The sequence below is a fragment of the Homo sapiens genome, chromosome 5 (assembly GCF_000001405.40).
Source record: "Homo sapiens chromosome 5, GRCh38.p14 Primary Assembly".
NCBI classification, from domain to species: domain Eukaryota; kingdom Metazoa; phylum Chordata; class Mammalia; order Primates; family Hominidae; genus Homo; species Homo sapiens.
The window spans coordinates 126,619-151,156 of NC_000005.10; the positions used below are offsets into that span (position 1 = coordinate 126,619).

Consider the following 24,538-nt stretch of genomic DNA (forward strand, 5'->3'; position numbering starts at 1 on the left):
TTATGTGACACCTCTGCAAAGCAGACTTTCCCCCTCCCTTGGGGTTTGCTTTTTATGTTGTTGAAGCGGCACTGTTTTCTGGGGTAAATACCCGGGGTTCATCATCTCACACCAAGAAGATTAAGGACATGGACGCACATGAGGAGTGAGTTTAGGAGTGGAGGTTTAATAGGCAAAAGAAAGAGAAAGGAGAAGAACTCTTACTCTCAAGACAGAGAGGGGTGCCCAAAAGGGAAATCTGGCCTGCGGCAGAGAGCACCAGATTTTATAGGCAGGCTTGAGGAGGTGGTATTCCATTTACATGGGGCCCACAGATTGGTTGGACCAGGTGTGACATTTACATAGTGTGCGGGTCGGGGAAGCTGGCCACCCCACCCTAATCTTATGCAAATGTTCTTTCCACTTGGCCAGCGCCATCTTGCCTGCTCCTTACTATACATGTGGCTGGCAAAAGAAGGGAAGACGGAGCTGCCATTTTGAACATGCCTAGTCCCAGGTAGCCTTTTCTTATTGGCGCAACTGCCAGCATTCACCTGTATGAGCTTCCAGCTTGCTTGTCTATGTCTGCAGCTCGATTTTAAAGGCTGCTCTTTGTTAGAAAAGAAAATGATTTGGGGGCTGATTTTCATTAAAAGGAAACGTTACTACAGACTTTCTTTCCCTCACTATCTGCCTAATTTCTTCTTAACTCCTATATCATTGTTTCTGCTTATTGTTGGTTTTTATTATTATTATTATTATTATTATTATTATTATTATTATAGGCTGCCTCTGTGCCAAGGCCCAGCCTGAGGTGTAACCGTAAGGTCATTTCAGTTCCTTCTGAGCCTGGTCCTTTCTTTGAGCATACATGGTCATTTTCTAATTTTCCTTGTATACATTTTTTTAAAATGTCCTAGTGTTTAATGTCTGGCTCACAAAAGGGGAAAAGACAAAAAAATGAAAGGGGTGGCAAAAGGGCATCACCTCTTTAAATCCCCTGGAAGTCACTTCAGTGGCAGTGGTAGGTGGCGGCCGAACAGTGAGAAAGGTGCAACAATATTGAACTTGCACCTCTTTGTCTGCACCTCTGTGGTCACCAGCCACAGTGATTAGAGCACTGTTAATGAAAAGAGTCAAACTCTGTAAAATGTTTGAAGGGATTTATTCTGAGCCAAACATGAGTGACTATGGCCCCTGATACAGCCCTCAGGAGGTCCTGAGAACATGTGCCTGAGGTGGTCAGGGTACAGCTTGGTTTTATACATTTTAGGGATATTGAGACATCAATCAAATAAATTTAAGAAATACATTGGTTTGGTCCAGAAAGGCAGGACAACTAGGGGATTTGGTGAATTTAAACATTTTCTGGCTGACAATTGGTTGAGTTCTTCTAAAGACCTGGGGTCAATAGAAAGGGAGTGTTCAGGTAAAGATAAAAGATTGTGGAGACAAAGTTTCTTTTGAATCTTATGGTGGCTGCCCTTAGGGACAATAGATGACAAATGTGTCCTATTCAGACCTTTAAAAGGTACTAGATTTTAGTTAATCTCTTCAGGACTGGGAGGGCCCGGAAGAAAAAGATCTAGCTATGTTAATAGAGAGTCTTTACAGATACAAATTTTCCCCCACCAAGGACAGCTTTGCAGGGCCATTTCAAAATATGGCAAAGAAACGTATTTTGCAGTAAAATATTTTAACTTTCTTCTTTGTCACATGATGTTATGCCAGAGTCAGATTGGAAAGTCACAATCTGTATGGCTAAATAAAAACCACATGATGAGAATTTATGGTTTGTAGGGCATGAACTCCCCAGACCCCTCAGATAGGCATTTAGGCAAGATTAAAAAAATCAGAGCTTAGTCCTCAGCACTGATCCACTGTATTTGGATGACAGGGGTTTTCTTTTTTGTTTCTTGGGGTTTTTTGGCCACTTTGGCTCTTGCAAGCCGCTCCAGGAACACAGGCACAGCTGCCTGCGGGGCTGGAGGTGGGGCTGCCAGTGGGGCCAAGAGCTGAAATTGACCACAATCAACCACAATTTGCCCTTCATGCTTTTGGTAGACTCCAGAGTTCCAAAATAGTTATGGCAGACAGATTCTGCCAGTGCAGGTGTTGTCCAGATGGGGAGACAGACTGCTGGTGCCTCCTACTCCACCATCTTCCCAGAATCCTCCTCACAACTGGGATAACCATAAAGGGTGTAAACCAGAAATGAAATTCTAAGTCCCCCACCAACTGAACAGACCCCCTCTCCCTTGGCCAAGGAGATCCCAAAGAAACTGGAAGAACGAGTTCAGGCCGTGACAGGGAGGGGTCGGACAGGCCTTTGGAGTTTAGGCACAACTGACCAGCATTAGTATTAAAATAGAGACCAAAAGACTGACGAAACAGATTCCGTAGCAATAAGATACCAAATCTGAACCTGTGGCGTCACATGACAACAGGCCCTGAGGAAATGAAATTATTTGACTCCAAAATAGATTTCTTTGCCATATTCTGAAGCAGCCTTGCAAAATTGTCTCTTGTGGAGGACATTTGCATTCTGTAGAGAATCTCCTTCCCTTTCTAGGTCTTCTCCTGACCCAGGAGAGGGGTTTAACCAAGAGTCTGACACCTTTTAAGGTACAAAAGGAGACATTTGCCATCATTCTCACTGAAGCCTGCTACTTAGAAGCTTCATCTACAGAACAAGAACCTTGGCTTTATCCCCCTTTATCTTAACTGGAGTGTTTCTTTCTGCTGACGTCAGTTCTTTAGGCAGAGCTTACCTCTTCCAACCAACTGCCAATCAGAAAAATTCTGAGTCCATCACCCCTGCCCTCCAAACTTGAGATGTCCTGCCTTTCTGGGCGAATCCAGTATATACCTTACATGTATTGATGTATGTCTTTGCCTGTAACTTCAGTCTCCCTAAAATGTATAAAACCAAACTGTAACTAGACCAACTCAGGCACACATTCTCAGGATCTCTTGAGGGTGTACCCCAGGTGATGGTCACTTACATTTTGCTCAGAGTAAGCCTCTTTAAATATTTCATAGAGCTTGGCTTTCTTCATCAACAAGGGTCAATGAGAGCTACGAAGTATTCCCTAGGACTGAGGGAGAGCTCCCAAAGAGGAAATAAGCCTTCCCTAGCCCCCATCAAGATAGTGGTGGGTGAATGTGCATTAATGTATTTAAAGCTAAAATAAAATATTTAGGGTATGTATGACCTTTTTTTTTTGTCATTGCCTGCCTTAGCAAACTAATTGCCAGTCCTGACCACTCACAGCTGGAGGCATCAAAGGAATGTACAACTTAGAATGTTGCAAAGTAGGCAGTAAAATCAGTGGGCAAGAGGACAGGCTTCACCCAGAATGTGCTTAAGAGTCACACATGCTCATAGGTCACTCAGGAAAATGTCTGTATAGGTTTTCCCACCCAAGACCACATTAAATCCAGATGAGTCAGAGTGAATATGAAGAGAGAGTGAGAGAGAGAGAGAGAAAGGAACATGCTTTCTCATCAGAAAAAGACAGACTTACTTGGCTGAAGCAAAGAGTGACACCACAAAGAGAAGGAAATTGATGGCAGAAACATCTAGAAAATTTACAATTCAAAAACATCAGCAGAAAAAACACACAAAACAAAAGCTATTCTTTACATTGTCTTTGCTGAGGGCTTATAAAAATAAGTGAAACACTAAGAGCCAATAGAAAAATTGGCAGACTTGAAGAGATAATTTACAGAAGAGATGTTACAATTTAGCATTTAAAAAATACATAAGGAAATGTTAATAACTAATATTAAACCAAAAAAGGAGTGTAAATTGGTTTCATACCACAGTAGAGGGAAGCTCATCCCTTAACGCCCCCCCATGCCCTGGGAGGTTACCTGTCCCATTGCCCAGAATGAAGCTGAACTTTTAGGAATATTGACATTCATGGCGTGATATGCCTTTGTTATGATCAAAACCTGTTAATTGTCTCAGGAATTTCAGGCTCCTGGACAGCTTTGTGAAAGCTCATTATAAAGCGGGACTCTGCTTATTTTTAGCAGCTGAGCTGCAGCACTTAAACAGTGAAGTCGAGTGCCCTCATTTTAAATAAGAAAACTCTGGTTCTGACACTCTCCTTGACACTGTGTTGAAACAACTTGAGTGCACCGCTTAGAGAAGACATCAAAATGAGAGAAAGATTTACCCTGTGTGATCTGCAGCTTTCTCAGGACTGGAACTATTCAGAACATGACTACAAGATTTATAGCATCTGGTCTAATTTGGTAGCAATCCCAGGGTAGCCAAAAGATTTACAATCTAAACCATGGCTAGTTTGGCCAAGGAGAATCACAGAATTGTGAATTGTATTGAGGCAAAGAAGAATGGTGTTCTTTCTCTATTTGTTTCTTTTTCAAAGCCTTGATGTACATTCCACTTGGAATAGTCTTGTCATAGTTCAGCTATTCATGTCATGTACATTATTATGAAATCACAGCTGATGCCCCACGCCTCTGCAAGTTCCCCTTGAAGAAGCTGCTTCCTTTTTTTTTTACTTTAAATTCTAGGGTACATGTGCACAACGTGCAGGTTTGTTGCATAGGTATACATGTGCCATGTTAGTTTGCTGCACCCATCAACTCGTCATTTACATTAAGTATTTCTCCTAATGCTATCCCTCCCCTAGAACCCCAGCCCCCAACAGGCCCTGGTGTGTGATATTCTCCGCCCTGTGTCCAAGTGTTCTCATTGTTCAATTCCCACCTATGACAGGGAACATGCAGTGTTTGGTTTTCTGTCTTTGTGATAGTTTGCTGAAAATGATGGTTTCCAGCTTCATCCATATCCCTGCAAAGGACATGAACTCATGCTTTTTTTTTATGGCTACATAGTATTCCATGGTGTATATGTGCCACATTTTCTTAATCAAGTCTGTCATTGACAGACATTTGGGTTGGTTCCAAGTATTTGCTGTTGTGAATAGTGCCGCAGTAAACATACGTGTGCATGTGTCTTTATAGTAGCATGATTTATAATCCTTTGGGTATATACCCAGTAATGGGATCACTGGGTCAAATGGTATTTGTAGTTCTAGATCCTTGAGGAATTGCCACACTGTCTTCCACAATGGTTGAACTAATTTACACTCCCACCAACAGTGTAAAAGTGTTCCTATTTCTCCACATCTTCTCCAGCACCTGTTGTTTCCTGACTTTTTAATGATTGCCATTCTAACTGGTGTGAGATGGTATCTCATTGTGGTTTTGATTAGCATTTCTCTGATGACCAGTGATGATGAGCATAGTTTCATGTGTCTGTTGGCTGCATAAATGGAAGAAGCTTCTTCTGATCATCTCAATTGATGCAGAAAAAAGCATTTGACAAAATTAACACTCTTTCATGATAAAAACAAAATACCCTAGGAATAAAAGGAAACTATCTCAACATAATAAAAGCCATATATGTAAAACCCACAAACAGTATTGTCCTCGGTGGGAGACTGAAAGCTTTTCCTCTGATACCAGGAACAAGACAAGGATGCGCACTTTCACCACTTCTATTCAACATGGTATTTGAAGTTCTTCCTAGAGGAGTTACGCAAGGAAAAAAAAAAGTGAAAGGCATCCAAACTGGAAATTAAGAAGCAAAATTATCCGTTTGTAGATGACATGATCTTGTATTTGGAAAACCCTAAAGATTTTATAAAAACTTTAGCTGTTAGTCCTTTGTTGGATGTATAGATTGCAAAGATTTTCTCCCACTCTGTGGGTCATCCGTTTGCTGATTATTTCTTTTGTTGTGCAGAAGCTTTTTACTTTAATAAAGTCCCATCTATTTATCTTTGTTTTTGTTGCATTTGCTTTTGGGTTCTTGGTCATGAAGTTTTTGCCTAAGCCAATGTCTAAAAGGGTTTTTTCTGATATTATCTTTTAGAATGTTTATGGTTTCTGGTCTTAGATTTAAGTCTGTAATCCATCTTGAGTTGATTTTTGTATAAGGTGAGAGATGAGGATCCGGTTTTGTTCTTCTACATGTGGCTAGCCGATTATCCCAGCACTATCTGTTGAATAGGGTGTCCTTTCCCCACTTTATGTTTTTGTTTGCTTTGAGGAAGATCAGTTGGCTGTAAATATTTGGGTGTATTTCCGGGTTCTCTATTCTGTTCCATTGGTTTATACACCTATTTTTATACCAGCACCATGCTGTTTTAGTGACTCTGGCCTTATAGTATAGTTTGAAGTCGGGTGATGTGATGCCTCCAGATTTGTTCTTTTTGCTTAGTCTTGCTTTGGCTGTGTGGGGTCTTTTTTGGTTCCATATGAATGTAGGATTGTTTTTTCTACTTCTGTCAGTAATGATGGTGGTATTTTGATGGGAATTGCATTGAATTTGTAAATTGCTTTTGGCAGTTTGGTCATTTCACAGTATTGATTCTACCCATTCGTGAACATGGGATGTGTTTCCATTTGTTTGTGTCATCTATGATTTCTTTCAGCGGTGTTTTCTAGTTTTCCTTGTAGAGGTCTTTCACCTCCTTGGTTAGGTATATTCCTAATTATTTTAATTTTTTGCAGCTATTATAAAAGGGGTTGAGTTCTTAATTCAATTCTCAGCTTTGTCATTGTTAGTGTGTAGTAGAGCTACTGATTTGTGTACATTAATTTTGTGTCCTGAAACTTTGCTGAATTCATTTGCCAGTTCATGGAGCTTTTTGGAGGAATCTTCAGAGTTTTCTAGGTATATGACCATATCATCAACCAAAAACGACAGTTCGACTTCCTCTGTACTGATTTGGATGCCCTTTATTTTTTTCTCATCTGACTAATATCCAGAATCTACAAGAAACTCAAACAAATCAGCAAGAAAAAAAAACAGTCCCATCAAAAAGTGGGCTAAGGACATGAATAGACAATTCTCAAAAGAAGATATACAGATGACCAACAAATATATGAAAAATGTTCAACATCACTAATTATCAGGGAAATGCACATCAGAACCACAATGTGATACCACCTTATCATGCAGGAATGGCCATAATGAAAAAATAAAAAAATAATAGATGTTGGCATGGATGTGGTAAAGAGGGAACACTTTTACAGTTGGTGGGAATGTAAACTAATACAACCACCATGGAAAACAGCGTGGAGATTCCTTAAAGAACTAAAAGTAGATCTACCACTTAATCCAGCAAATCCCACTCTTGGGTATCTACCCAGAGTAAAAGAAGTCATTATACAAAAAAGACACTTGCACACACGTTTATAGCAGTACAATTTGCAACTGCAAAAATATGAACCCAGCTCAAATGCCCACCAATCGAGTGGATAAAGAAAATGTGACACACACGCACACACACACACACACACATATATATATGGTGGAATATATATATATGAGATGGACTATATATGATGGAATATATATATATGAGATGGACTACATATATGATGGAATATATATAGATAGAATATATATATGATAGAATATATATATATGATAGAATATATATATATATATATATATATATATATATATATATATATATATGTGATGGAATACTACTCAGCCATAAAAAAGAACAAAATAATGGCATTTGCAGCAACCTGGATGGAAGTAGAGACCATTATTTTAAGTGAAATAACCAAGAATGGAAAATCAGACATTGTATGTTCTCATTCATAAGTGGCAGCTAAGCTATGAGAATGCAAAGGCATAAGAATAATACAATAGACTTTGGGGATTCATGGGAAAGGGTGGGAGGCAGGTGAGCGATAAAAGACTACACATTGGGTGCACCCTCCACTGTGATGGGTGCGCCAAAATCTCAGAAATCACCACTAAAGAAATTATTCATGTAACTAAACACCACCTGTTCTCCGAAACACCTATTGAAATTAAAAAAAATGAAGTCCAGGCATGGTGGGTCATGCCTGTGATCCCAGCATTTTGGGAGGCTGAGGCAGGTGGATCACTTGAGGTCAGGAGTTCAAGACCAGCCTAGCCGATGTAGTGAAACCTTCTCTCTACTAAAAATACAAAAATTAGCCAGGTATGGTGGCGTGTGCCTGTAATCCGAGCTACTCGGATGGCTGAGACACGAGAATCACTCGAACCTGGGAGGTGGAGGTTGCAGTCAGCTGAGATCGTGCCACTGCACTCCAGCCTGGGCAACAGAGTGAGACTCTGTCTCAAAAAAAAAAAAAAAAGAAAAGAAAAGTAAAACCTGTTAGAAATAATAATTCATCAAAGTTGGAGGATACAAAATCAACACAAATCAGTTGTGTTTCTATACACTAACAATGAGCAACCCAAAGATTAAGATAACAATTTGTGGCCGGGCACGGTGGCTCATGCCTATAATCCCAGCACTTTGGGAGGCCAAGGCAGGCGGATCACCAGGTCAGGAGATCGAGACCATCCTGGCTAACTTGGTGAAACCCTATCTCTACTAAAAATACAAAAACTTAGCTGGGCATGGTGGCGGGCGCCTGTAGTCCCAGCTACTGGGAGGCTGAGGCAGGAGAATGGCGTGAACCCAGGAGGTGGAGCTTGCAGTGAGCCGAGATCACACCACTGCACTCCAGCCTGGGTGACAGAACGAGACTCCAGCTCAAAAAAAAAAAAAAAAAAAAAAGTTTGATTTATAATAGTATTAAAAAGAATGCAATACCTAGGAATAAATTTAACTAAAAAGGTAAAAGACTTGTTCACTGAAAATACAAAGCATTGCTGAAAGAAATTAAAGAAGATGTAAATAATTGTAAACACATCTCATGTTCATGGATTGGAAGACTTAATATTGTAAAATGGGCCGGGTGTGGTGGCTCACGCTTGCAATGCCAGTACTTTGGGAGGCCGAGGTGGCGGATCATGAGGTCAGCAGATCGAGACCATCCTGGCTAACACAGTGAAACCCTGTCTCTACTGAAAATCCAAAAAAATTAGCCTGGCATGGTGGCAGGTACCTGTAGGCCCAGCTACTGGGGAGGCTGAGGCAGGAGAATGGCATGAACCCTGGAGGCAGAGCTTGCAGTGAGCCGAGATTATGTCACTGCACTCCAGCCTGGGCGACAAAGCAAGACTCCATCTCAAAAAAAAAAAAAAAAAATATATATATATATATATATATATATATATATATATATATATATATGTATGTCAGTACTACCCAAAGTGATCTACAGATTCAGTGCAATCCTATTAAAGTCTCAATGGTGTTTTTTGCAGAAATAGAAAAGCCCATCTTAAAACTCAAGTGGAATCTCAGGAGACCCCCAAATAGCCAAAACAATCTTGAAGAAGAGCTAAAAAGTTGGAGGACTCACACTTCCTGATTTTAAAACTTAGTACAAAACTACAGTAATCAAAGCAGTGTGACACTGGCATAAAAACAGACACACAGACCAGTGGAGTGGAATAGAGAGCCCAGTAATGAACCCTCACGTATATGGCTAAGTGATGTTCTACAGGGGTGCCAAGACTATTCACTGGGGAAAAGACAGTCTTTTCAATCAATGGTGCTTAGAAAACTGGATATCCACATGCAAAAGAATGAAGTAGGACCCTTACCTAAACCCCATTTACAAAAACTCACTCAAAATGGATCAAAGACCTAAATGTCAAAACTAAAATTATAAAACTCTTAGAATAAAACATAGACGAAAAGCTTCATGACATCCAATTTGGCAAAGATTTTTTAGATATGACACCAAAAGCACAACCATCAAAAGTGAAAAATAGGCTTCATCCAATGTTTTAAAAGGGTACTATTGCATAAAAAGGGCCTTATTGATACAGTATAAAAGCAGCCTTCAAAATGAGGGAAATATTTGCACATTGTGTATCTCATAAGGGATTAATATCCAGAATGAATGAAAAACTCCAAAAGCTCAACAACAAAAATAACGCAAATCAAAAATGGATAGAAGACTGAACAGGTATTTCTCCAAAGAAAACATACAAGTGTCCAATAAGCACATGAAGAGATGCTCAACATCATTAATCAGGAGGGAAACACAAATCAAAACCTCAATTAGATACCACCTCCCACCCATTGTGATAGCTTTTAAAGGAAAAACACCATTAAAGGAAAACACCATTAATAGGAAAACACTATTAAAGGAAAAACACCACTGGGAAACAAGTGCTTGGAACGATGTGGAGAAATTGGGGTCCTCGTGCGTGGTTGGTGATGACGTAAAATGGTGCAGCTGCTGTGGAAACAGTTCTTCAAAAGAGTGAACACAGAATCACCCTATGATCCAGCAGTTCCACTTCTGGGCACCTACCCAAAAGAATTGAAATCAGGGATTTAAATAGATATTTGTATACCCGTGTTGATAGCAGCATTATTCACAGCAGACAAAAGGTGGAAACAACCCCAGTGTTCATGGATGGATGAACAAAATGTAGTCTATACACATAATGGAATATTATGCAACCCTGTGGATGGATGAATGGATAGCAAAATATAGTATGTACACGCAATGGAAGATTATGCAACCCTCAGAAGGAGTGCAGTTCCAACACGTGCCACATGTGGCATGGATAGACCTTGAGGATACTGTGCCAATGGATAGGAGCCAGTACTGGAAGGACAAATGTTGGATGATTCCACTTGTATGAAGTAGTCAAACTCGTCAAGACAGGAAGTGGAATGGTGGGTGCCAGGGGCTCAGGGGCAGGGGAATGGTGAGCTGGTGTTTAATGGGTTCACCGTTTCAGTTTGGGAAGATGGAAAGTTCTGGAGATGGTGGTGATGGTTACATAACCGTGTGAATGTACTTAATGCCACTGAACTGTACCCCGTAAACATAGTTATGCTGGTGAACTTCACATTATATCTGTTTACACACACACACACCCTCCTCCCCACAGTCTCTGACTTCCCTCCTGCTCTGGGCTGTGCCACTGCCTTAACCCGGACCAGTTCCCTTCTACAGTGAAGAAACCCTATGCATATTGGAAATAGGGTTTGGAAATAGGTTTTGTCTCATCAAATATTTGATATGTAGAGACCTGTAGACCCCTGTGGGAGGGCAAAAGGCATGAAAGGCTCCAACACCCTCCCATTTCTGTTTTCTGGAAAAAGTCTAGTGGTGCGATTACAAGGACAAGTCACAACGATTTTTTCAACAGTCACTTGTGCATTTTACGTCAAATCACCACTTCACAGGAACATGCCCTGGGCACCAATATGGCTGTGCTGGGCAATAGGATCGGGGACGGACTCTGGGGGCCAGGCTCGGGGAGGCCCTTATGGACCGGCAGGTACCTGTCTCTTCTGGGGTGAAACCTGTGGAGGGGATGGAGGTGGCCCCACCAGGCATCCAGCCCAGGACACAGCTCCTCAGGCCGCCTCGCAGCGTCTGGGGAGGGTGTCAAGGAGCCGCTTCTTGAACGGCTTGCTCACCGGTGTGAGGAACACGCGCAGACGTTTCTGAAAACTGGGTGGGCCAATGTCTGTATGGACTGTGGGTCTGGAGTGGAGCAGCTCCAGGGCCCACCCTGACGTCAGACGATTAAATGACCACTTGGATTTGCCAGTGGCCCACAGAAGACCCTGGGACCCGCCCCCCACCGGCAGCTAATTGCTTCCCTCTGAAATAGATGAATATTTTCTAGTTTTCTGCATTACATTACTTTCATCTGTTCAGGTTATTTTCTGAAATGAGGGTGTAACTTTACATTCTTTAAGTCAAATTTGCCATATCAATGATAGTTCCGTTTTATGCCTCCTGTTCAGTATATTCTCCCCTTGCGTGAAGTTTGAGCTTAAATTCTGGTAAAAGTTGAGGAACTTGTTTTCACTTCCCTCAGCCACCTAGGGATGCTCATACTCGATTTTACATTCCGAGAGTTGAAGCCCAGTAAGATGAAAATGATTAGAAAAAGGCTTTTGAGAATAACCTTTCCCCATCTGCATGTGTGTCTCTTTCAGTGGCAAATGCCCTTTTAAGTTTTTAGCGCATTTTTATTGCCATTCTGGAAAGCTGGGGTTGTGACTTCCATCTGAGTCCCTGAGGCCAGCATAGTAAAGCTGAGCTGAGAATGGGCCTCGTGCTTGAGAAAAGGCACCAACACCTAAGGCATGTTTGTTACCAGTGCAAAACATGATTGGTGGGTGGGTTGAACTTGAACTTGGTGTAAGATTCTGCAGAAGCAACTGAAACCCAGGCGGGGCTCTAGGCCCCAAGATGTTTACTGTATTTTAGTTTGTCAGAGCAACATTTGGGGAAAATAAACACTCAACAGTTAAGTGATCTGTGTGCAGTTTCTAATAGCACAGGAAATGCTAATGAAATCACATTGGGTGAAAATAGTTAAAGTACACAATTGTAAATGGAGTGGGATCTCAGCTATTTAAAGGGAACAGAGAAAATACTGAAGTGAAATTCACCAGCATCCTGGCACCCGCACCCCTCGCTAAGGAGGCCGAGGTAGCGCCTGCAGCAGCCGGGAGCCACAGGGAGCACCGGGAGTGCAGAGGAGGGAGCCCCCCATAGGGTGGCCCTGACCAGGGCTGGCAGGGGCAAGTGTGGACGCCCGGCCCCTTGCCCAGGCTGGGACCACTCTGAGGGACAACTCATCCTTCGGAGCGCCTGGTGGGCTGTGGCTGTGGCCCTCGAGTGGCCTCCTCTCCCCTGTCCTGCCCACCTACCCCCAGCCTCCAGGAAGAGCTATACAATTGCTTTTTTAACTGACCCCTGAACCAAAGAGCAGCCCGTGTTTTCTAGTCCTAATGACCTGCTTTATGTTCCAAGGAACAGGACACCCCAGCCCCCGTGAGACCCCTTCCTTGTGGGAGCTCAGTCACTGACCTTCCCCTGAGGGGTGGAGACCCAGGGCATGGAAGGGCTCAGGACATGGCCGTGCCCACCACTAACCTCCCTCCTCTCTTGTCTCAGGCCAGGTACAGGGGTCTGGTCTTCCTGCACCCAGGCTGGCCGCTGTGCGCCCATGAGAAGGTGGTGGTGCAGCTGGCGTCCCTGCACGGAGTCAGGCTCCAGCCCGGGGACTTCTACCTGCAGGTCACGTCGGCGGGGAAGCAGTCAGCTAGACTGGTCTTGAAATGCCTGTCCCGGCTGGGAAGAGGCACAGAGGAAGTCACCGTCCCTGAGGCCATGTATGGCTGTGTCTTCACGGGGGCGTTCCTGGAGTGGGTGAACCGGGAGCGGCGCCATGTCCCCCTGCAAACCTGCTTGCTGACCTCAGGCTTGGCCGTCCACCGAGCCCCGTGGAGCGACGTCACTGACCCTGTCTTTGTCCCCAGCCCTGGAGCCATCCTGCAGAGCTACTCCAGCTGCACAGGTCCTGAGCGGCTGCCCAGCAGCCCCTCAGAGGCCCCAGTCCCCACCCAAGCCACAGCAGGCCCCCATTTCCAGGGAAGCGCCTCTTGCCCCGACACCCTGACCTCACCCTGCCGCCGAGGGCATACGGGCAGCGACCAGCTCAGGCACCTTCCTTATCCAGAAAGAGCCGAGCTGGGAAGCCCCAGGACCCTGTCTGGAAGCTCAGACAGGGACTTCGAAAAGGTCAGCCCCTCAGAGCAGGGCCCACGGATGCCCCCTGAGAACTGTGGGGGGTCGGGGGAGAGGCCGGACCCCATGGACCAGGAGGACAGACCCAAGGCCCTCACCTTCCACACAGACCTGGGCATCCCGAGCAGCAGGAGGCGGCCGCCGGGGGACCCCACTTGTGTGCAGCCTAGACGCTGGTTCAGGGAGTCGTACATGGAAGCCTTGCGGAACCCCATGCCCCTGGGCAGCTCTGAGGAGGCCCTCGGGGACCTGGCCTGCAGCTCCCTGACTGGAGCCAGCAGGGACCTGGGGACTGGGGCAGTAGCCAGTGGGACCCAGGAGGAAACCTCTGGCCCCCGGGGAGACCCCCAACAGACCCCAAGTCTAGAGAAGGAGAGGCACACACCCAGCCGGACAGGTCCAGGAGCTGCAGGGCGGACTCTTCCCAGGAGATCTCGGTCCTGGGAAAGGGCACCCAGAAGCTCCAGAGGGGCCCAGGCTGCAGCCTGCCACACCTCCCACCACTCAGCAGGCTCCAGGCCTGGGGGCCACCTAGGAGGACAAGCTGTGGGGACCCCAAACTGTGTCCCAGTAGAGGGTCCCGGCTGCACCAAAGAGGAAGGTAAATGCTCCCCACGCCCTCCCCTGCGCACCCCCACAACCTCCCCTACACATCCCACAATCTCCCCCTGCACACCCCACCCCCTTCCCTACAAACCCCCACAACCTCCCCCTGCACACCACCACAACCTCCCCTGCACACCCCCACCCTCTCCCCTGCACACCCCCACCCCTTCCGCTGCACACCAACCCACTCCCCTGCACACCCCACCCCCTCCCCTGCACACCCCACAACCTCCCCTGCACACCCCACCCCTTCCGCTGCACACCCCCGCCCTCTCCCCTGCACACCCCCACCCTCTACCCTGCACACCCCACCCCCTCCCCTGCACACCCCACAACCTCCCCCTGCACACCCCACAACCTCCCCCTGCACACCCCACAACCTCCCCCTGCACACCCCCACCCCCTCCCCGCACACCCCCACCCCCTCCCCTGCACACCCCACAACCTCCCCTGCACACCCCCACCCCCTCCCCGCACACCCCCACCCCCTCCCCTGCACACCCCACAACCTCCCCCTGCACTGTCCCCCTCCCACCCTGTCACAGTTTTGTTTGGTCACTTGATCCACAAGAAGCCTGTCTCCATGTTCATATTGGCGCTCACGTTCTGGAGACCACAAGTCCAACATCAAGCTGTGGGCAGAGTGTGTTCCCCTCCGAGGACCGGGGGCACCCATCCCGCCTCTTCCAGCTTCTGGGGCTCCAGGTGTCCCGGGCTGTGGCTGCAGCCCTCTGACCGTCCTCCGTGGCCTCCTCCCCAGTGCTTCTCTGACTCGAATCTCCCTCTCCTTGCTCTTGGGCACCCATCGCTGGATTCGGGGCCCCTCTAAACCCAGGACGACCTCACATCCAGATCCGTAGACTCAGTTTCCAACTGGAGGCCACATTCACAGTTTCCAAGGGTTAGGAGAGAAAATGTGATGATTTAAAAGACTAAGTTTGCAGGACATAAAGTAAGAAAATAATGACAACATATTTCTTAAATATTTCATTTTTTTTTTTTTTTTTTTTTGAGTAAAGAAATATCCTGTGAGTAACACAACCAGTGATTTTGGAAAGAAGGAAAAAATGTGAACATACTGATGTAGGCTCCAGCAAGTAGGGCCACCCAACCTCGGGAAAGTGACAGGCTGAGCCCTCCTTTCCGTGGGCTCCCCCCGCGGTGCCTGGAGACAGCCACGCCTGCCCTGCCAACCCCTCCTACCTGCCTGGCCTGACCAGGGGCTCGGAGGCAATGGCACCACAGCCCTTGGAAACAGAAGTGTGGCCCAGCCCATTCCAGCCACCTCACGAGAGCCTTTCGCCTTCAAAGTTAGGCTGCTGTGCCTGGAACTTCTGACAGGTCCCGGAGAGTGCCGCACACACACGGGACCTACCGCAGAAAGAGCTTTGTAACAGAAGTACTCACTTGGGGGCAACACTACCTGAGAGTATTCTGTCGCCTCACTGCAATTCAGCTAAAGTGAAAAGAAGTCCTAACCCCTCCCCGTGGTTTCCAGCCCCTCACCTTTCCTTTGTATTGATTTTCTTCCCTGTTGTACTGGGCAGAAAAGACACACACAATCTTGCAGCACCCCTCGCAGTCACACACACGCCATAACAACCACACACAGTCACATGCCTCACATGATCACATGCTCGAGTTCCACATACGACACGCACACAGAATCACACAACACACACAGTCACATGCCTCACACGATACACGCGCGCACAGTCACCAGTCACATGCTTCACACAATCACATGCTCCAGAGTTACACATATCACACACGCAGTCACACCACACGCAGACACATGCCTCCAACGATCACACTCCAGAGTTCCAAATACCACACACACAGTCACACACCACACGCAGTCACATGCCTCACACAATCACACTCCAGAGTTCCACATACCACACACACAATCACACAAACACAGTAACACACCAGTCACATGCCTCACACAATCACACGTGCCAGAGTTACACATACCACACATGCACGCGCAGTCACACACCACATGCAGTCACGCATGCTGCACTTTGAGCAGATGAGTAGGGATGAGATGACCTGTTCCTCCTGAGGCGTCTGCAGGTAGTGAGCATGTCTGTGAGCTGGAGACTCCGTCTCCGTGATGACGCCGCGTGTCCGTGATGACGCCGCATGCCCTGTGCAGTGGGACATGCTTTCACTTCCCGTGTGAACTGGGACAAGTTTTCTCGGAACCCCCTACTTTCATGCGTGTTTTTGTCCCATGGTTCATAGCAAGCTGAGCATAGCAGCTGCTTTCAACGCGCAGGAAAACCTTCATCTTTGACACGGCCTCTTTCCTTTGTCCAGACGTTCTTGCATCCTCAGCCTGTGTCAGCACAGACGGCGGCAGCCTCCATTGCCACAACCCCAGCGGGCCTTCCGATGTGCCTGCCCGGCAGCCACACCCCGAGCAAGAAGGGTGGCCACCCGGCACAGGAGACTTCCCCAGCCAGGTGCCCAAGCAGGTGCTGGACGTCAGTCAGGAGCTGCTGCAGTCCGGGGTCGTCACCCTCCCAGGTGAGAGCACATGCCAGGCTCTCCTGTCAGGGCGGATCTGACATCTAAGCCGACAGCACAGACCCAGCTCACCACCTTGTAGGAGTGAAGCCCTTGGCAGCTGCCCTGTCTCTGTCTCCGCAGGGACCCGAGACCGTCATGGCAGAGCAGTGGTGCAGGTCCGCACCAGGAGCCTGCTCTGGACCAGGGAACACTCGTCCTGTGCTGAGCTGACCCGCCTGCTGCTGTACTTCCATAGCATCCCCAGGTGGGACGGGGGGCAAGGCCGCACCCTGCAGACCCATGGGACCCCAGCTGCATGTGTGTGGCAAAGTGGGGGGCACGGGGAGGTGCCAGCTTCCATGGCCAGACTCTGCCTCTCCTAACCTCATCTTTCAGAGCAGTCAGCACCCATGTGCTTCCAGCCTTGATTTCTACACACCATTTCTTGCCTTCTCTACACATCCTTCCCAGTGACACCCACAATTAAACACACCTGGCTACGGGGCAGACAGGGCACACTCACTCTTTGGACCAGGATTCAGCCATCCGTGTGATGTGCAGCTTCTGCCGGCTTTGAGTCAGGGTTCTCTTATGTCCTTGGCTCACAAGAGTGCTGTAAGATCAGTGTCCAGACACACAACTTAATTAGAATGTCAGTTAATCCTGGAGTTAGAGCTAAAGAAGTTTCTCAAAGAACAAACACACACACAAATTTTTTTTTTTGAGACAGGGTCTTGCTCTGTCGCCCAGGCTAGAGCACAGTGGTGCAATCACAGCTCACTGTAGCCTCAATCTCCTGGGCTAAAGCGATCCTCCTCCCGCCTCAGCCTCGCCAGGCTAAATATTTTTTAAGACTAGTCAAGTGTAGTAGTGAGAAGGGGGAAAGAATAGAATAAGGTGTTTGATCTGTAATGTGTGTGAACAATCAAATGAGATAACTCACTACCTTCAGACCAGCTGAACACTAAAATTTTGTAAAATGAATATATCAACTCACCCCACCTACCATTCTCTCCTATTAAATTTTGAACTGAAGTTTCTAATCACAATCACAGAGACAAAGCTTTTAAATTGGAGTTTTCAAAACCACATGATGGTATTTTTAGTTTTAAAAGATGTTCTAACAGTCTTAGCTTGGCTCTGGATAAGTAAGGACCCTCCTGACTGATCTCAAGCTTCCATCTTGGGAACAGGCCATCCACATCCCATCAGAATCACCTTCTGTGCTTACGTTAAAGCCCAAATAAATGAGGGCAAGAAGGCCCTGAAGTCCTTGCTCCCTTGATGGAGCACGGCCCATTTCGTCCATCCAGGAGCATTGGTGGGTGTTTAGGGGAAAGTAGCCCCAGCCCCATGTGCCCAGAGACACTGTCTGACATCAGTAGCAGGTTCCACGAGAGGAACAACGTCAGTGCCTCCAGCCGATGGGCCTGCACCTTCGGGAAGTGGAAGGTTGATGTGTATAGAGAACCCCTAACTTCTAGAGCTGAAAGGAAACCAGTAACAACTAGCCTCAGAGGTGGAGAAACTCGTTCTTGTAAGAGATTTAACCTTCAGTGGTTAAGATGGGCTGTCTTTCCCTCCCCAGGAAAGAGGTCCGGGACCTGGGGCTGGTTGTCCTGGTGGATGCACGCAGGAGTCCAGCTGCCCCTGCCGTCTCCCAGGCCCTCTCAGGATTGCAGGTACGGCAAGGTTGTCATATCCCTTGGGTGTGCAGAGCATCGTAGGGCCGTGTGTTGCTGGGGCTGCCCACATCGTGGTTCTGGAGTAGCCAGTCCACAGGCTTAGTGTGAAGATTCGAGATGGGGGCCCCTGTGCAGAGCCACCTCCTTCTTGGGGTCTTCCCAGTGAGTCCAGCTCTTGCTCTCTGGGGCCAGGCACAGACACTGGGGAAGGTGGGCTTGGCCCATCCGCTGGGGACTTGGGGAAGCTTCATGCTCAGGGCAACTGCAAACCTAAAATGCAAAGCCAGCCAGGCCCGGGTGGTGGGCACCTGTCCCAGGAGGGCAGCGCAGCCCCATCCCTGCCCAGTGCAGCTGCCCCCGCTATGCCCCTCTGTCAGGATGGAGAGCACAGCATCACCCTTCAGACAAAGGACAGAGGCAGGAAGGGGCAGCCATAGTTCACTGCAAGGATGAACCAGGGTGGGGACGAACCTGGCAGCCCCAGACAGGGTCAATGCCATTGCCACAGGTCCCTGCAGCCTCGAATTCCCAGGCTCAAGCCATGCTACTGCCTCAGCCTCCAGAGTAGCTAGGACTACAGGCGCATGCCACCATGCCCGGCTAATTTTTTGTATGTTTACTAGAGATGGGGTTTCGCCACATTGCCTAGGCTGGTCTTGAACTCCTGGACTCAAGCGCACCCACCTCAGCCTCCCAGAGTGCTGGGCTCACAGGCATGAGCCACTGTGTGTGGCCTAGGGGCCCTGCACTGAACCATAAGCAACATCCAGAGATGGGAAGCACCGGGGATGGGAAGATGCTGCTGCCTGAGCAGGGGCAGATGGAAGCTCAGAGATGGGGAGAGACCAGGGACAGGGGGGTCCAGGGACAGGGACAGGGAGGGGACGGGGACAGAACCAGGGTGCCCTCTCCCATGCCCCACCTGCACTCCACGAAGCTAAACCCATTTCGCCCTTGCTGTCCCTGCTGAAGACGGAGGCAGAGGCTCCTATACTCACTGAGGAATCTCAAGTTTAGGGACACCAGGTGGCAGGTTGTGCCAGGAAAGACATCAGTCAGGGACAGCACTGGCAGAGCTCACCACACCATGGAGTCCTCCTTCCACTCCCCTTCCATGGTCCTCCCTCCTCTCCCCCTCCATGGTCCTCACTCCTCTCCCCACTTGGAGTCCTCCCTCCTCTCCCTACTTGCAGTCCTCCCTCCTCTCTCCCAACCTGTGGTCCTCCCTCCTCTCCCCCATTCTGCAGCCCTCCCTCCTCTTCCTTTCCATGGTACTTCTTTTTCTCCCCCTCCACTGTCCTCCCTCCTTTCCACCCCCACAGTCGTTCCACTTCTCCCACCCTGCCCCCCTCCCTCCTTTCCCACACCCTGTGACCCTCCCTCCTCCCCACCATAGTCCTCCATCCTCTCCTCCTCCATGGTCCTCCCTCCTCTCCACCCCCACAGTGGTTCCTCCTCTCTCACAAGCTGTAGCCCTCCATCCTCTCCCCACTATGGTCCTCCCTCCTCTTCCCTAACCCTGCAGCCATCTCTCCTCTTCACCCCTGCAATCCTCTCTCCTCCCCTCCACACAGTCCTCCCTCCTGTCCCCACTGTGGCCCTCCTTCCTCTTCCCCAACCTAAAGTCCTCCCTCCTCTTTCCCCTAAGGTCCTCCCTCCTCTCCTCCCCCAGAGTCCTCCCTCCTCTCCCCCAACCCTGCAGTTCTCCTTCCTCTTCCCTAACTCTGGAGTCCTCCCTCATCTCCCCCCTCCTCTCCTCCCCCACAGTCCTCCCTTCTCTCCCCTGACCCTGCGGCCCTCCCTTCCTCTCCCCTGGCCCTACAGTCCTCCCTCCTCTCTCTCCACCCTGCTGCCACCACTTCTCTCCCCCACACTTTCCCCCTTGCATCGAGCCTGCCTCCCCTTGCCTTAGAGTGAACCTGCCTCTTGTCCCCCTCCTCACTGTCAGTCCCGCCTGTGGTTTCTTCTTACTTTCGCAGTACGTGGCTCTTCTTAGAAAATGTCAGTGTCCTACCTGAGACTTGGAGGAGACAGGCTCAGTCATGACCCCCCTTACAGAGTGGGATCCACTCACATTGAGCCCTGCAGTGGCATCCTCCAGAACTCCCTGACAGGGTGGCTGGGCCAGCAGAAATTGGCTGGCCTGGGAGCAAGTGACAGGGACCTTGGGCTGGACAAGGGGCTGAGGTGACTCCCTGAGGTCAGGAAGGAGTCACTGGGAGGAGAGAGCACAGGCCGAGGTCCAGACAAGAAGTGCCATGAGTTGGGTTGCACCAGCTAGGCTAGACAGGAGTCCTCAGTGCACAGACACTGTCAGGAAAGCCTCAGGGAGGCCTGGAGCCAGGGGAGGCACTGATCAGAGAGGTTCTGAGAGATTCTCAAGGCCTCCAAGAAAGGAACATGAGGCCCTGCACCACAGCATGAGCATGAGCTGTCCCTGGTTGGGCACCTGGGCAGTGGTCTGTGCTTCACCTAGACAAAGAAATGACAGTCAAGGAACAGATGCTAGGGGAGGAAACAGAGCTGACCAGAGGTTACCTGGGCACAAGAGGAATCTGGAAGAGCGCACACCTGCTGAGCAAACCTAAGGCAGTGACATCAGGGTGGAAAAAAGAATACATATGCTTATTGTTAGTGTTCACCAAAAAAGGTTCACAGTGCGTTGCTCTAAAGCTCAGTTAGCTTCTCTAACACAAGGTAGATACAGTGTGAAGTGCCAAAACTCAGTTTCCATAAAACTTTTTACAAGCATGTAAGTTCCTTATTGACTTTTTCAAAAGAAATTCATGTAGGAAATGCATCCTAACTCATTCTATGATGCCAGCATTACCCTGATACTAAAGCCAGCCAAAGACACTAAAAGTAAAGAAAACTGTAGAGCAATATCCCTTATGAAGGTTGATGCCAAAATCATCAACAAAATACTAGCAAATCAAATTCAGTAGCAGGCTGAAAGGATTATACACCCTGACCAAGTACAGTTTGTTCCTGGAATGCAAGGATGGTTCGACACATGAAAACTGATCAGTGTAAACAGAATGAAGGGGGAAAAACACATGATCATCTCAATTGATGCCAAAAAAAAAGCATTTGACAAAATTCAACATCTTTCATGATGAAAGCACTCAATATACTAGAAATAGAAGGAAACTACCTCAACATAATAAAAGTTATATGAAAAATCTACAGCAAATATCATACTCAATGGCAAAAAAACTGAAATCTTCTCATCTAAAATCAGGAACAAGGCAATAATGCCCACTTCTATTCAACATATTACTGGAAGTTCTAGCTAGAGCAATTGGACAAGAAAAAGTGGGGGGTGGGGGAGAAGAGGCATCCAAACTGGAAAGGAAGAAGTAAAATTATCTCTATTCCCAGATGATGTGATCTTATATGCAGAAAACCCTAACAGTTCCACAAAAAAAAAAAAATAAATAAAAATAAGTTAATTCAGCAAAGTAGCAGGATGCAAAGTCAACACACAAATATCAGTCACACTTCTCTATGCTAACAGTGAGCAATCTGAAAAGGAAATTAAGAAAACAGTTCATTTACAATAGCATCAAAAAGAATAAAGTACTTAGGAATTAACCAAAGAAGTGAAAGACTTTTTCACTGAAAACTACAAGACAGCTGAAAGAAATTAAAGAAGACATAAATAGAAAGATATCTCATGTTCAAGGATTGGAAGACTTAATATTGTATTGAAATATCAATACTACACAAAGTGATGTATAGATTCAGTGCAATCCCTATCAAAATTAAGCTGTTGTTTCTTGCCGAAATAGGAAAACCTATCCTGAAATTCATAGGGAATCTCAAAGGACTCCAAATAGCCAAAACAATTGTAAAAAATAAAAACAAAGCTGGAGGACTCACAGTTCCTGATTTCAAAACTTAACAAAGCAACAGTAATCAAAAAAGTTTGGCACTGGCATTAAAACAGACGTATAGAACAATGGAATAGAGTAGAAAGCCATGAAACTAACAATCATATACATAAATGATTTTTGAAAAGGGTACCAAGACCATTCAATGGAGAAAGGACAGTCTTTTTTAACAAATGGTGCTTAAAAAACTAGATATTCACATGCAAAAGAATGAACTTAGATTCTTACCTAAACACCATATAAAAAATTAACTCAAATGGATCAAAAACCTAATTGTAAGACCTAAAACTATAAAACGTTTAGAAGACAACATAGGGCAAAAGTTTTCTAACATTGGATTTGGCAATGATTTATTAGATATAATATCAGAGGCACCAGCAACAAAAGAAAAAATGGACAAATCAGACTTTTCAAAAATTAAAAAATGTGCATCAAAAGACTACCAGACAGATGTGGTAGCTCATTCCTGTAATCCCAGCACTTTGGGAGGCTGAGGCAGGAGGATTGCTTGAGCCCAGGAGTTCAGGACCAGCCTGGGCAATATAGTAAGACTCTGTCTCTATGAAAAAAAAAAATTAGCTGAGCATGGTGGTGCATGTTTGTAGTCCTAGCTACTTAAGGGTCTGAGGTGGGAGGATCGCTTGAGCCCAGGAGGTCAAGGCTGCAGTGAGCCATGGTCATGCCACTGCACTCCAGTATGGATGACAGAGAGAGACCCCGTCTCAAAAAAAGTAAATAAGAAGACGCTATCAACAGAGTAAAAAGGCAGCCCACAGAATGGGGGGAAATTTTGGCAAATTATGTATCTGATAGGAGGTTAATATCCAGAATATATAGAGAACTCCTAAAATTCAACAACAACAAAAACCAAACTGCCCAATTCAAAAATGAACAAAAGACTTGAATAGACATTTCTCCAAAGAAGATATATATGTGGCTAATGAGCACATGAAAAGATGTTCAATGTCATTAATGATTAGAGAAATTCAAATCAAAACCTCAATTAAATACCACTTCCCCATCCATTAGGGTGGCTATTGTAAAAAAACAACAAGTGTTGGCAAAGATACGGAGAAACTGGAACCCTTGTGCACGGTTGATGGGAACAGTAAATAGTGACTCATTGTGGAAAACAATTTGGCAGTTCCTCAAAAAAGTAAATATAGGATTACCATATGATCCAACAATACTGTGTCTGGGTATATACCCAAGAAATTGAAAGCAGAGTTTCAGAGATTTATACAGCTGTGTTCATAGCAGCATTATCCATAACAGCTAAAACACAGAAGCAACCTTAGTGCCCATCAACAGATGAATGGATAAGCAAAATGTGGCCTATCTTTACGATGGAATATTATCCAGCCTTAAAAAGGAAGGAAATTCTGACATATGCCACAGCATGTATGAATCTTGAGAACATGCTGAGTGAAATAAGCCAATCACAAAAAGACAAACATTCCACTTCTATGAGTACTCAGAGTAGCCCAGATCCCAGAGACAGAAAGTTGAATTATGGTTGCCTGGTGCCAGGAGCAGGGGGTAATGGAGAGTTTTTCTTTTACGGGTGCAGGGTTTTGCTCTTACAAGATGAAAAGAGTTATGGAGACGAATGGTGGTGGTGGTTGCACTACGTTATGAATGTACCTAAGACTGCTGAACAGTACACTGAAAAATGATGATGATAGTGTTTCACCACAATGAAACAATTGAAAATGCACATCTGATAAAGGGCTTGTATATAGAATATATACGGTCTCAAAACTCAGTAATAAGAAAACAACCCAATAAAATATGGGAAAGGATTTGAGTACTCTTCACTGAAGATGATACACAGATGGCAAATAAGCACATAAAAATATGCCTAACGTCATTAATCACTGGGGAAATGCAACTGAAAACCAAAATGAAACACACAAAAACAGTAACAAAGCTTGACAGTAACAAATGCTTGGTATTGCTGATGGAAATGCAAAATGGTACAGCCACTCTGGAAAATACTTACTTATCACATGAGCCAGAAATCCCACTCCTAGATATTTATCCAAGAGAAATGAAAACTTGTGTTCACACAATATTTATAGTGACTTTACCCATGATTGCCAAAAACTGGAAACAACCCAGTTATCCTTCAGCTGGTGAATGGATGAACAGATTGTGGTGAGGCATACCGTGGAATACTGCTCAGCAAAACAGAGGAACAAACCGTTGATCTCCACAACAGGGATGAGTTCCCAATGCACAATGCTAAGTGAGAGAGGCCACTCCTGCCTGAGTCTATTTATGTCTAGAAAAGGCAAGTCGGTGGAGACGAAAGCAGGTCAGTGGTTGCCAGGGGCTGGG

General features: G+C 46.5%; 1 protein-coding gene across 1 annotated transcript in view, besides 1 other annotated feature; it reads left to right on the plus strand.

The window, feature by feature from the left end:
* Positions 1 to 24,538, plus strand: part of PLEKHG4B (pleckstrin homology and RhoGEF domain containing G4B) — a 97,799-nt gene that overhangs the window by 34,451 nt on the left and 38,810 nt on the right. The window contains exons 3-6 of the mRNA NM_052909.5: positions 12,865 to 14,098; positions 16,429 to 16,638; positions 16,762 to 16,885; positions 18,209 to 18,302. Coding sequence (NP_443141.4) covers positions 12,865 to 14,098; positions 16,429 to 16,638; positions 16,762 to 16,885; positions 18,209 to 18,302 — 1,662 coding nt within the window. The remainder of the gene's footprint in view (positions 1 to 12,864; positions 14,099 to 16,428; positions 16,639 to 16,761; positions 16,886 to 18,208; positions 18,303 to 24,538) is intronic.
* Positions 10,802 to 11,307: an enhancer, noted in NCBI's record as "H3K4me1 hESC enhancer chr5:137535-138040 (GRCh37/hg19 assembly coordinates)". NCBI's record gives its function as "activates a minimal SCP1, AML or CMV promoter by ChIP-STARR-seq in primed H9 embryonic stem cells {active_cell/tissue: H9 hESC(primed)}" and the evidence as "EXISTENCE:reporter gene assay evidence [ECO:0000049][PMID:30033119]".